The sequence below is a fragment of the Homo sapiens genome, chromosome 17, assembly GCF_000001405.40.
Source record: "Homo sapiens chromosome 17, GRCh38.p14 Primary Assembly".
NCBI lineage: Eukaryota > Metazoa > Chordata > Mammalia > Primates > Hominidae > Homo > Homo sapiens.
Genome location: NC_000017.11, coordinates 32,304,585 through 32,318,474, shown reverse-complemented (window position 1 = coordinate 32,318,474; position 13,890 = coordinate 32,304,585). Strand labels below are relative to the sequence as shown.

General features: G+C 48.7%; 1 protein-coding gene across 15 annotated transcripts in view; it reads right to left on the bottom strand.

The window, feature by feature from the left end:
* The window catches only part of RHBDL3 (rhomboid like 3), a 58,830-nt gene that overhangs the window by 6,187 nt on the left and 38,753 nt on the right, over positions 1 to 13,890 (bottom strand). For 8 of the 15 annotated variants that reach the window (XM_017024275.2, XM_017024273.2, XM_017024276.2 and 5 more), the window contains one exon: positions 2,183 to 2,243. In XM_017024275.2, the coding sequence (XP_016879764.1) occupies positions 2,183 to 2,243 (61 nt within the window). Of the gene's footprint in view, positions 1 to 2,182; positions 2,244 to 13,033; positions 13,135 to 13,890 lie in introns of those variants that run through there. The other 7 variants (XM_047435507.1, NM_138328.3, NM_001330181.2 and 4 more) reach the window with 1 other exon arrangement.

Sequence of the window (13,890 nt, the reverse complement as noted above, 5' to 3'; positions counted from 1 at the left end):
TTGTTTGTTTTTGTTTCAGCATGTTGGTCAGGCTGGTCTCGAATTCCTGACCTCAGGTGATCTACTCGCTTTGGCCTCTCAAAGTGCTGGGAGTACAGGCGTGAGCCACTGCGCCTGGCCTTTTCTTTTCTTTTCTTTTTTTTTTTTTTAAGGCAAGGTCTCGCTCTGTCACACAGGCTGAAGTGCAGTGGCATGATCATAGCTCACTGCTGCCTCAAGCTCCTGGGCTAGGACTATAGGCATAAGCCACCATGCCTGGCTAATTTTTAATTTTTGTGTGTGTGTGTGTGGAGACAGGGTCTTGCTCTGTCGCCCAGGCTGGTATTGAACTCCTAGGCTCAAGAGATCTTCCTGCCTCAGTCTAAGTAGCTAGGACTACAGGCGCAAGCCACCATGCCGGGCTAATTTTTTTGTATTTTTTTTTTTTTTGTAGAGACAAGGTCTTGCTATATTGCCAAGGCTGGTCTTAAACTCCTGGGCTCAAGCGATCCTCCCACCTTGGCCTCCCAAAGTGCTGGGATTACAGGCGTCAGCCACACTGCCCGACCCCTACCTCCATTGCTTCTGTTCAGACTCATCTCTTTCAATCTCAGAAAGAGCCCTTTGGCCTTTGGTCTTTGGTCTTATCCCCCTTGTCCCCACAATCTATTCTCCACACTGCAGCCTGACTGGTTTTCTAAAACTCTGGTTATCCATCAATAACTCTCTTGTTGAAAGCCCTCCAGTGGGATCCCAGGGAACGCAAAGTGAAGTACATTTTCTTTTCTTAGCATTTAAAGCCCTTAACAATCTGACTCATACTATTTCACTAACTTTATCTCTGATCAAAATCACACACAATCCCAAAACGAATTTCTTGGTTTTGCTAACCAACTCGCTGGCCATGACCCTTCACCCATCTATATGTTAGTTCAGGCTGCAGCTTTGCCTGAAATGTCCTCTTACACCATGTTTACTTGGTGGACACCTGCTTGCCTCTAACACTCAGAATGACCTCTGTAGGTAGAACTGAGCTCTCCCAACTAGGGCCCTGAAGACATCTTGTTCCTAGAGGTTCTTGGACTAGTTACAGTTTGCGAACCTGCTAAAACTGCAGCTTTTGATATATGTGTGTATGCACATGAGTGCACATATATGTATTTTTCTGGCGACAGGGTCTTGGACTTTCAACAAGGGATCTCAAAGGATCAGTTCCATGACCAAAAAGGTTAGGAAGTTATTTGTCTTGATCTGGGTGCTGGTCCTTAAGCACTTTTCTGTTTGCATATTATATGTCAATAAAAAGATGAAAAAATAGGCTGGGGCCAGGCATGGTGGCTCATGCCTGTAATCCCAGCACTTTGGGAGGCCAAGGCGGGCAGATCACCTGAGGTCAGGAGTTTGAGACCAGCCTGGCCAACATGGTGAAACCCCGTCTTTACAAAAAATACAAAAAAGTAGCTGGGCGTGGTGGCACGTGCCTGTAATCCTAGCTACTTGGGGGGCTGAGACAGGAGAATCACTTGAACCCGGGAGGTGGAGGTTGTGGTGAGCCGAGATCACACCACTGCACTCTAGCCTGGGTGACAGGGGGAGGCTCCATCTCAAAAATAAAATAAAATAAAATAAATAAAATAAAATAAAAATAAAATAAAATATAAAATAAAATAAAATAAAAGGCCAGGCGTGGTGACTCACACCTGTAATCCCAGCAACTTGAGAGGCCAAGGCAGGAGGATTGCTTGAGCCCAGGAGTTCAACACCAGCCTGGGCAACATGGCAAGACCCCCATCTCTGCCAAAAATTTTAAACAGCCAGGCATGGACCCACACATGTGTAGTCCCAGCTATTTGGGAGGCTGAAGAGGGAGGATCACCGGAGCCCAGGCAGGAGTCTGATGCTGCAGTGAGCTATGATTGTGCCACTGCACTGCAGCCTGGATGACACAGGGAGACACCCTGTCTCAAAAAAAAAGATGAAAATATAATTTTTAAAAATAGATAAATAAATAAAAGATGAATGGTTACGAAGCAGCACAGCAGGACAGACAGCTCTCACAATATCCCTACTTTTTTGCTAACCATTGACATGTCCCACTTTTTTTTTCTTGACCATAAGCCCGTGAAGGGCAGGAACTGTGCCATCTTTGAACCTCAGGCCCTGGTGCCAGGCTTTGGTTCCCCAGCGCCCCATCAGTACTTACTACAGATAAGGGCCACAGCCATCCGCAGCAGCTTGAACTGGCACTTCATGCCTGACCAGTTCTAGGGAAAAAGGAGAGCTCAGTCAGTTCCAGATTAGACCACTCTTCTGCCGGTGTGTCTTGCTTAAGAAAACCTGACATTAAAATAAGGATCTCCGTGAAGTCCTGAATGAGAGGGTTGTGGCTTAGTAGCAGAACACACCACATGGCTTTGAGATTTTAGGCAACAGCAAGTTTACTCCCGTCATAAGAGTTCTTGAGCTGGACTAACAAGAGGAAGGGACTCCAGATCTAGGAAGAGGAGAGGCCCTGTCTCCTCAACGTGGACAGAGAACATCTCAGAGCTGCATTCATTGCTGAGCTCCACGGTTGCAAAGGATGCAGGACAGCCAACCAAGCAAAGTCAAGACAGAACCACCAGGATGATAAAAGAGCTCAAAATCCTGCAAATGAGGAATGAATGGGGAAGCCAGGATCTTTTAGCTCAAAAAAGAGGGGACTGAGGGGTCAAGTTCATTGTTGTCAAATATCAAATGAGTCAACACAAGGAAAGGGCACATTCAATTCAGTGTAACCTGCAAGCAGAAGATGCAATGGATGAAAACTTCAGAGAGAGACTTTTTAGCTCAGAGTAAGTTTCCATTTCTAGTAAGCAGAGCTCTCCAGAGATAGAATGGTCCGTCTTGCAGGCTTCGTGAGTTTCCCAACCATCGGGGGTTTCACATCACTCGGAAAGGATGCTCCAGAGGAGAATCAGATACTGGAGAGGGGGTGGGCCAGGTGGCCTTCAAACAACTCCCTCTCTCCCCTGAGAATCTTGGAAAACTCGGAACCTCCAAAGCAGATAAACAGTACAATTATTCGCTTTACAAAAGGACTTTTCACTTTACAAAAGACTTCACCACAGGATTCCTTTGAGAGGCACTCCTGCAGTGCATTCAAAGCACTATTCCATTTATACAGAGGTGCGCGTGCACAGAAATAAGCCCGGAATCTTCCTGGAACACATAAGCCCCAGGGAAGGAGGGCACAACCAGGGGACTTTGGTTTCCTCCCACCACCCAATCTGCCTTTGCTGCCTGGCCCAGGCCCAGCTCGGGGGCACGTGTGGCACTTCTTTGAGGTTGCAGGAACATCCGTGTAACTTTACAGAGGCCCTGAACACTGGCATGGACACTAACATCTATGAACACTTCAGTCAAGCAAGCAGGACACAGAGCACATGCCAAAGAGGGGGAAATCCTCACAGCCTTCAGTTCTTGCCCACCTCCTCCCTTCTCCCCATCCTTCCTCACTGACCAGCAACCCCTTCTTCACAGAAAGTGAAGTGTGGGCCACCTGCGGTCCCGCTTTAGGTGGAAAGCCTGTCTTCGCTTGCCGACATGTTCCATGCTAGGAAGCAGATGGCAGGATATCGGTGTCATCTGCTGGTGTCTGCCCACAGAGGAGCCTTGCCAGGAGACGAGGAAGAAAACAGGAGTCAGTGCCCTCCCCTGAATCTAGCGACCCAATCTGAGCTGGCTCAGTTAGCAGATGGTGGGCACCGCAGCCCCCTCTTCAAGCTGAAACCCTAGGATGGGAGGAAACTTGGGAATCATCTAATGGGACATCTCTTCCCAAAGGCGGACACCCACTGCCAAGTAGCCAACAAGATGGCCCTCCAGCCCACGTGATGGGGTGCTCCCTGTCTCCCTGGGAGCCCTGGGAAGGGCTCTCACCCCTAACGGTTCTTCTTGCTGTTGTTTGCCAGGCTTTCCTTCCCTATAATGTCCCCTCCATGGATTTCAATTCTCCCTTAAAGGTGATACCCGGCTGGGCGCGGTGGCTCATGCCTGTAATCCCAGCACTTTGGGAGGCTGAGGCGGGTGGATTACTTGAGCCAGACTCCGTCTCAAAAAAAATAAAAATAAAAAAAAGCGATACCCATGTTCATAGCAGCATTATTCACCATAGGCAAGACACGGAAGCCACCCCAGTGTCTATGGATGGATGGATACATGAAATATACATACATATGTCTATATATTTGGTTTCTTGCCCACCTCCTCCCTTCCCTGACTCTTCCTCACTGACCGGCCACCCCTTCTTCACAGAAGGTGAGGTGAGCCACCTGCCTTCCCTTTTTAGGTAGAAAGTCTAATCTTCACTAATCTTCATGTTCCAAGCTAAGAAGCAGATGGCAGGATAACGTTGTCACCTGCTGATATATACATACAATGGAATACAATTCAGCCTTTAAAAGGCGGTGGCTCACGCCTATAATCCCAGCACTTTGGGAGGCCGAGTCGGACAGATCAGAAAGTCAAAGGAGATCGAGACCATCCTGGCTAACATGGTGAAATCCCGTCTCTACTAAAAATACAAAAAAATTAGCTGGGCATGGTGGCAGGTGCCTGTAGTCCCAGCTACTCTGGAGGTTGAGGCAGGTGAATGGCGTGAACTCGGGAGGCAGAGCTTGCAGTGAGCCGAGATCACACCACTGCACTCCAGCCTGGACGACAGAGTGAGACTCGTCTCAAAAAAAAAAAAAAAAAAAAAAAAGGGAGGGAATTCTGACCCATGTTACAGCATGAATAAACCTGGAGGACCTTACGCTAAGTGAAATAAGGCAGTCACAGAAAGCTAAATACTGTATGATTCCACTTAGATGAAGTATAGAGTAATTAAATTCATGGAGACAGAAAGTAGAATGGTGGTTGCCAGGGGCTGGAGGGAGGAGGGGGTGGGGAGTCATTGTTTAGTGGGTACAGAGTTTCAGTTTTGTAAGATGAAAAGAGTTCTGGAGACAGATGGCGATGATTGTACAATGTGAATGTATGAATGTACTTAATGCCATTGAACTGTACATTTAAAATGTAACTGTATACTTTAAGATGGTACATTTTATGGTATGTACATTTATCACAATTAAAAGCAAAAGTACAGAAGACTTTTTAAGAGACAGGGTTTCACTCTGCCAACCAGGCTGGAATGCAGCAATGCAATCATAGCTCACTGCAGCCTCAAACTCCTGGGCTCAAGTAATCCTCCTGCCCCAGCTTCCCAGGTAGCTAGGATTATGGGCATGTGCCACCACACCTGGCTAAATTTTTTATTTTTTGTAGATATGGAACTTCACTATGTTGTCAGGTTGGTCTTGAACTCCTGGCCTCAAGTGGTCCTCCAGCCTCGGCCTCCCAAAGTGCTGGGATTACAGGCTAGGTGCTCACGCCTGTAATCCCAGTGCTTTGGGAGAGGCCAAGGCAGGAGGAATGCTTGAGCCTGAGAGTTCGAGACCAGCATGGGCAACATGGCGAAACCCTGCCTCTATAAAAAATTAGCTGGGCGTGGTGGTGTGCACTTGTAGTGCCAGCTACTCAGGAGGCTGAGGTGGGATGATCGCTTGAGCCCAGGAGGTGGAGGTTGCAGTGAGCTGAAATTGCACCAGCACACTCTGGCCTGGACAACAGAGTGAGACCCTTTCTCAAAAACAACAGGCCAGGTGTGGTGGCTCAGGCCTGTAATCCCAGCACTTTGGGAGGCTGACGCAGGCGGATCACTTGAGGCCAGGAGCTCAAGACCAGCCTGGCAAACAGCAAAACCCCATCTCTACTAAACATATAAAAAAATTAGCTGGGTGTGGTGGTACATGCCTGTAACCCCAGCTACTCTGGAGGCTGAGGCACAAGAATTGCTTGAACCTGGGAGGTGGAGGCTGCAGTGAGACGATATTGCGCCACTGTACTCCAGCCTGGGCAAAGGGTGAGACTCTGTCTCAAAACAACAACAAAACAAAAAGTGCTGGGATTACAGGCATGAGCCATTTGTGCTCGGCCCCCTCTGAGTAAATATCTTATTATTTTTCTTTTTTTTCCTTTTGAGACAGGGTCTTACTCTATTGCCCAGGCTGGAGTGAAGTGGCATGATCACGACTCACTGCAGCCTTGACCTTCTGGGCTCAAGTGATCCTCCCACCTCAGCCTCCCAACTAGCTGGGACTGTAGGCACACTGTACCACACCCGGCTAATTTTTAAATTTTTGTAGAGATGGGGTCTCCCTATGTTGCCCAGGCTGGTTCAGAACTCCTGGGCTCGAGCAATTCACCTTCCTCGGCCTCCCAAAGTGCTGGGATTGTAGGGCGTGAGCCACCAAGCCTGGCCTAAGTGAATATCTTATCTGAAGACAGTGTCTCTTTCACTATGTCCTGAGTGATAATATCAGGCAAAGTAAGTTAGAATGTATGGACAGCTCTCTCCTTTATCTGAGGTCTCCAGCCTCCATGCCCCTCCTGGGCCCTATCTGGGATAGATGTTAAATGCGCCATCCTTATTTTTGGCCTGGTTGGCCATCAGTGGGGTGGCTCAGAATTCCTTCTTCTCTGTCATTTTCATTTGTGAATTTGAGATAACAACTGCCCCTTATCTCAGTTCCCCACCTCATCAGGTGGTTGTGAGAATGAAATGAATTAATATATGTAAAGCACTAAGACCACTGCCTGGCACACAGTAGGCATCATCTAAATGTGTGACAGTATCTTGACCTGAGACAAAGACGGGGAGTTTGCCCTGCAGAGTGGCTTGAAAAAATCTGAATCTGAATGACTCCAGTTTTGCCACAGCACCTCCCAGGCCCGCTTTATGAGTTTACAACATCTGCCTGGACCCTGAAAGCCCTGGAGCTTGCCAAGCTGATCCAGTCCATCCCTCTGCCGCACACTTTAGGGAAGAAGAAACTGAGGATTCAGGAGGGCTGGTTCAAGGTCACAGTGAGTGAATGGTGAGCTGACTGGGCTCCTGGTCCAGGGCTCTGTCCACCCACACTTCAGAGGTCACATTCCATGTGCCTGGGCCGTCTGTCCCAGCTGCCCACAAATGGAGCGAAAAAACGCCAGTAAATATGACCTGCCTCCCAGCAGCCGAGGGGTTAAACTAGAGAGTCCCCGCTTCCAACCAGCTGCCTTACTTCCCTAATCCAATATTCCCGCCAATAAAATCAGTGCACTGAAACAACGGGAGAGAAGAAAAAAAATCTCACATGCAGCCAGCACTGCTGCTGCTATAAAAGCTGGAAAGCCTGCAGATCTTTGGGGAATACAAACCTTTTGCAGGCCCTTTAATTTCATTCTCCCAGAGCCTCAAAGAGTGAGATAGTACTCACCCACAGCGAACAAGTTGGTAACCAGTCCCCTCAGCATCTTGCTCACCCAAACGGGTTAAGAGTGCAGAGGCTGAAAGCCAGGCAGGGAGCTTCCATTCCAATACAGCTTTCTATATCTATCCCTGGTAGAAACGGTTTCTTGTGAAATGACTTCAAGAAAACCCAACACAGGGAATGTGAAAGTATGACGCAGATAAATTAGGGAGTTGATTCTTTGTCCTACAAAAATATTTTTCCTTAATAAAGTAAACCTTTTTTTTTTTTTTTTTTTTGAGATGGAGCCTGACTCTGTCGCCCAGGCTGAAGTGCAGTGGTGTGATCTCGGCTCACTGCAAGCTCTGCCTCCCAGTTTCAAGCCATTCTCCTGCCTCAGCATCCTGAGTAGCTGGGACCACAGGTGCCCGCCACCACGCCTGGCTAATTTTTTATATATATATTTTTTTTAGACGGAGTCTCTATCTGTCGCCCAGGCTGGAGTGCAGTGGCACGATCTTGGCTCACTGCAACCTCCGCCTCCCGAGTTCAAGCGATTCTTCTGCCTCAGCCTTCTGAGTAGCTGGGACTACAGGCACCTGCCACCACGCCCACCTAATTTTTGTATTTTTAGTTGAGATGGGGTTTCACCATATTGGCCAGGCTGGTCTCGAACTCCTGACCTTGTGATCCGCCTGCCTCAGCCTCCCAAAGTGCTGAGATTACAGGCATGAGCCACCGCACCAGCCAGTTTTTTGTATTTTTTAGTAGATATGGGGTTTCACGTATTAGCCAGGATGGTCTTGATCTCCTGACCTCGTGATCTGCCCACCTCGGCCTCCCAAAGTGCAGGGATTACAGGCATGAGCCACCACGCCCGGCCAATAAAGTAAACTTTATAACAGAAATCTTTAGTGTCTGTTAGGCAACCATCTTCCCTTGTGCTTTGACAATGTGGTTCAGTTTGTGAAAATTCAGACCTCAAACATTTTGGGAAAACATCAATCATACAGAGCGAAGTGTAAGTAAATATCTTGTAGATTAAAAAATGGAACTCTGGCCAGCAGGAGGCAATTAATAAATTATTCAATTAGGTGTATCTGTATATTTCTAGTGTTTAAAATAAGAAGTCTTGGCGGGGCATGGTGGCTCACGCCTGTAATCCCAGCATTTTGGGAGGCTGAGGTGGGTGGATCACTTGAGTTCAGGAGTTCGAGACCAGCCTGGGCAACATGGTTAGCTAGGCATGGTGGCACGAGCCCGTGGTCCCAGCTACTCGGGGGGCTGAGGCAAGAGGATCGCTTGAACCCAGGAGGTGGAGGTTGTGGTGACCCGAGATCACCCCATTGCACTCCAGCCTGGGTGACACAGCGAAACCCTGTCTCAAAAAAAAAAAAAAAAAAAAAAAAAAAGAAGTCTTGATTATAGGGCTTTTTGCATTCCAGATCTTTTGTTGAAATATTTTGTCCATTTTTTCATCTCCCAAACAACTGTTTTGTGAAGATGGGATTACCGATGAGACAACTGGGGCTCCAAGAAGTTGAGTAATAGACTCATAGCTATTAAGATGGTGACATTGGTACTCAAATGTGGATTTTCTCTCAAGTCCATGCTTTTTCTTTTCTTTTTTGAGACAGAGTTTCGCTCTTGTTGCCCAGGTTGGAGTGCAATGGCGTGATCTCGGCTCACCACAACCTCCACCTCCTGGGTTCAAACAATTCTCCTGCCTCAGCCTCCCGAGTAGCTGGGATTACAGGTATGCACCACCACACCCAGCTAATTTTGTATTTTTAGTAGAGACGGGGTTTCTCCATGTTGGTCAGGCTGGTCGCAAACTCCCAACCTCAGTTGATCCGCCTGCCTCGCCCTCCCAAAGTGCCGGGATTACAGGCGTGAGCCACCGCGCCCAGCCCAAGTCCATGCTTTTTCTACTTTTAGTTCTGATGAGGTACTTTACTGTGTATCTCACACACACACACACACACACACACACACACACACACTCCAAACCTTCATTTTGAAGCTGAAAACAATAGTATATCTATTAGGTAGAACGATATGAATTTGCCAATATTCAAATGCTGATGGCCCATAGAAAGGGCAATTTTTTTTTGAGACAGGGTCTCTCTCTCTCTGTCACCCAGGCTAGAGTGCAATGGTGTGATCTCGGCTCACTGCAACCTCTGCCTCCTAGGTTCAAGTGATTCTACTGCCTCAGCTTCCTGAGTAGCTGGGATTATAGGCACGTACCACCACACCTGGCTAATTTTGGTGTTTTTAGTAGAAACGGGGTTTCACCATGTTGGTCAGGCTGGTCTTGAACTCCTGACCTCGTGATCCACCCGCCTCGGCCTCCCAAAGTGCTGGGATTACAGGCGTGAGCCACTGTGCCCAGCCAGAAAGGGCCATTTCATATGGGTCGACCCAACGCATCTCTGAACTGCTTAGCACTGAACTAATTTGAGTAAAGGTAGCCTCTTGACAAAGAGAAACCAGCCTTTTTAATGAGACGATGAGTTTTCTTTCATCGTCAATAAACACCACATAACTTTCTTTCTTTCTTTTTTTTGAGACAGGGCTTCACTCTGTTGCCCTGGCTGGAGTGCAGTGATGCAATCTCAGCTCACTGCCCGCTGCCTCTCTGGCTCAGGTGATCTCAGCCAGCCTCCAGAGTAGCTGGAACCACAGGTGATCTCACCTCAGCCTCCAGAGTAGCTGGAACCACAGGTGCATGACACCACACCAGGATAATTTTTTGTATTTTTGGTAGAGGTGGGTAGAGATGTTGCCCAGGCTGGTCTTGAACTCCTGGGCTTAAGTGATCTGCCTGTGTTGACCTCCCAAAGTGCTGGGATTACAGGTGTGAGCCAGCGCGCCCAACCCACACAACCTCCTGGAGAAGGGCTCCCCATGTGTCATGCTCTGGGGACTGCACAGCTCCCAGTTGGCCAAGGAAAGCCGTTTGCTTCTGGAAGGCACGGGGCTCTCAGATGAGGCTGCTCATCTCCACAGCGGCAGGCCATGGGCTACTTGACAGAGAGAAGCATCAACTGGAACAAAACTGCTCTCACACCTCTCTCGACAAACGTGCCCTACTCCATGGTCCTTCAGTGGTCTGCCTTCACCATGGGAACTTCTGGGCCATCAGGGCTGTTTCCCATGAGGTGGGGAAGAGGGTGGGAACAGGGCATCGTTATGAATGCCAGCGTGCTTCTTCCTCCCTGTGTTCTCTTTCAGTTGAGCTTGTTCACCACCCCTACACACATACAAGTCTTGGGCGGAATGGGAGGGAGGAGGTTAGCATTTCCTTCCCCTACTGAAAGGAATTGGGGCAGGGGGAGGGGGGAGTGGAGGAGGCAGAATTCAGAGGAAAAGCTGTGTCTGGGGAAAGATGTGGCACTGATACAGAATGACCCATTTAAAAGGGCCATGGGAGGCAGCCCATGCACTCAGGTTTTCAACAAACTGAAGTGTGTGCATGTGCAAACACACCTGCACACACACACTGAGAGGCTCACCGTTCCACGTTTCCCAACACCCGCAGCCTCTCTCTGAGCACTCACCTGAAGGTGCCAAAATTCAGGCCAGTAGCAAGTATAGGCAGGTACTCAGTGTCTGTCTATCTCTCCCCCTCTCTTCCTTTCTTTTCCCCTCCCTCTTGTGCTCTTTCTTCTCTTGCTCAATGTACAATGGGCATTTTGATGAGAACAAAAGGGACAGGGTTGGGAGCAGGGTGGGTGACAGAGAGATTGATAAGGAAGAAAAACATGGGATAATTCAGGAACGCCAAGCCCTGTGCACTGTGATCATTGAGCATTCAAACATCTGCCACGTGGGCGAAGACACTGATGGAGGAGTGGGTGAGAACAGGAGGACCCCAAAGAAAAGCTATGCCTTCCTTCCTTCATTCACTAAAATCTAGTGGGCACCATCTACCATGCTCCCAGCCATATGCCAGGTACTGGGAAATAGACAAGTAAGACCCGGAGGCTCCCAGGCCAGCAGAGGGATCGGGCAGGGTTAGCCACTGACTCCTCCATCAGCCTTCAGACTTCAGACCGCCTCCAAAAAAAGGATTTTGATATCCTCTAAGACTATCAGATCCCAATTTCTGGCCTTCAAGGCTTTGTCTAGTCTGACCCCATCCTGGCCTCTTCTGTCAGGAGAAGGAAATTAAATTTACATTTATATAGGTGGTTATTTGCACTTTATTTCATTTACTGTATGTCATTCTATTACTTTTCTTTTCTTTTCTTTAAATTGAGACAGGGTCTCACTCTGTTTCCCAGGCTGGTGTGCAGTGGTGCAATCTCTGCTCACTGTAACCTCTGCTTCCCAGGCTCAACTGATTCTCCAGCCACAGCCTCTGGAGTAGCTGGGACTATAGCCATGCACCACCGTGCCCAGCTAATTTTTGTATTTTTTATAGAGATGGAGTTTCACCATGTTGCCTGGGCTGGTCTTGAACTCCTGAACTCAATGCAATCTGCCCACCTCAGCCTCTCAAAGTGCTGGGATTACAGTCCTGAGCCACTGTGCCCAGCTCCCATTCCATTTCACAGATGTAGAAAGTGAGGTGCAAAGCAGTTAAGTAATTTGCCCAGAGTGTAGCAGGGATTTAGACCTAGGCTGACTGGCTCCAAAGACCATGTTCTTCACTATCACACTGTACTACCTTTCAGGAAAAGGCAGAGGGTGAGAAATGGAGTGGTGCCCCCCTCCCATGACAGACTGGGATAGGGGAACAACTGTTTTTTTTGAGACGGAGTCTCGCTCTGTCACCCAGGCTGGAGTGCAGTGGTGCGATCTCGGCTCACTGCAACCTCCGCCTCCCGGGTTCAAGCAATTCTCTTGCCTCAGCCTCCCAAGTAGCTGGGACTACAGGAGCGTGCCACCACGCCCAGCTAATTTTGGTATTTTTTTAGTAGAGATGGGGTTTCACCATGTTGGCCAGGATGGTCTCGATCTCTTGACCTCATGATCCGCCTGCCTTGGCCTCCCAAAGTGCTGGGATTACAGGCATGAGCCACTGTGCCTGGCCGGGAAATGACTCTTGAATGGTTGTCAGGAGATACGGGTTTAAGCCCTCATTTTGCCACAAACTTGACTGTGACTTTGGACAAGTCACTTAACCTCTCACAGCCTCCTTTCCTATTTGAGAATTTTGATGAGATAATCTCTAAAGCCCTTGTATTTTTAACAACCTATGATAAATAAGCAATTCCAATGGCCATATATGCTAGTGACCAAATTTTTTTTTTTTTTGAGAAAGAATCTCACTCTCTCCCCCAGGCTGGAGTGCAGTGGCGCGATCTCGGCTCACTGCAAGCTCCACCTCCTGGGTTCATGCCATTCTCCTGCCTCAGCCTCCCGAGTAGCTGGGACTACAGGCGCATGCCACCACGCCTGGCTAATTTTTTGTATTTTTAGTAGAGATGGGGTTTCACCGCGTTAGCCAGGATGGTACCAAATGTTAACTCTTTAACGTTGGTGAATGGGAAAGAGGCAGAAGGGGCAGATGGGCATGGTCCTAGGCCAAGCCGTGACTGGAGAAAATAGGAATCGCATCTGGAAGGCGCTCATTTGAAATGGGCCTGCAGAGGGTGAGGAGTGTGTGAGAACTCTGCTCCAGGTCAGGTCTGCCTGGTTTTTGGTGAGCCAGCCCCAGTGGATTAATACTCAGGCCCAGTGATGGCAGAGGACAGGGCCAGAAAGACACATTGAGAACGGGAGGTGCTCACCATGACAATGTTGGCCAGATGGGCAGAGACGAGAGCATACACCCCTCCAGAAGAGCCCACGACTGGAGCGGTCATGTCAGCCACAGACACTGCCAAGGACCCTAGTACAGAAAGACAGCGAGAATTCTCAGGAGTGCGGGACTCGGCTCACCCAACCCAGCCCCAGGCCTTGGATTCTGCAGGCTCCGTGCTAAGACTCCAGAGCAAGACGCTCCACCTCTTCCTCCTTTGAGTCCATGTTGCCAGGGAGATTCCCCTCCCCTCCCCTCCCTCTCCCTCCCTCCCTCCCTTCCTTCCTTTCCTTTTCTTTCTTTCTTTCTTTTTGAGACAAGGTCTAACTCTGTCACTTAGGCTGGAGTGCAGTGGCACGATCAGCTCACTACAGCCTTGACCCCCGGGCTCAAGTGATCCTCCTGCCCCAGCTTCCCAAGTAGCTGGAACTACAGTCGTGCGCCACAATGCCCAGCTAATTTTTGTATTTTTCTTAGTAGAGACAGAGTCTTACTATGTTGCCCAGGCTGGTCTCAAATTCCTGGACTCAAGCAATCCTCTTGCCTCAGCCTTCCAAAGTTCTGGGGTTACAGGTGTGAGCCACAGAGCCCTGCCTCCAGTGCATTTCTTAGAGGATTAATTTCTGGCTGAAAGAACCATTTGATTCTTTGACTCAAAGAGGGAAGTGTCCTGCCCAAAGTAAAATTCAGACTTCTACCTGGATTATCTGCCTCTCAATCCAATGTCTGCCTGACATGGTGCTATGTCAGGGTTCTGGAACCATAACAAAAATAGTAGCAGTAGTTATTGAAGAAACAGCTGCCACCTAGGTGACACGGATACCAAGCAAACATTTTACAGACTTT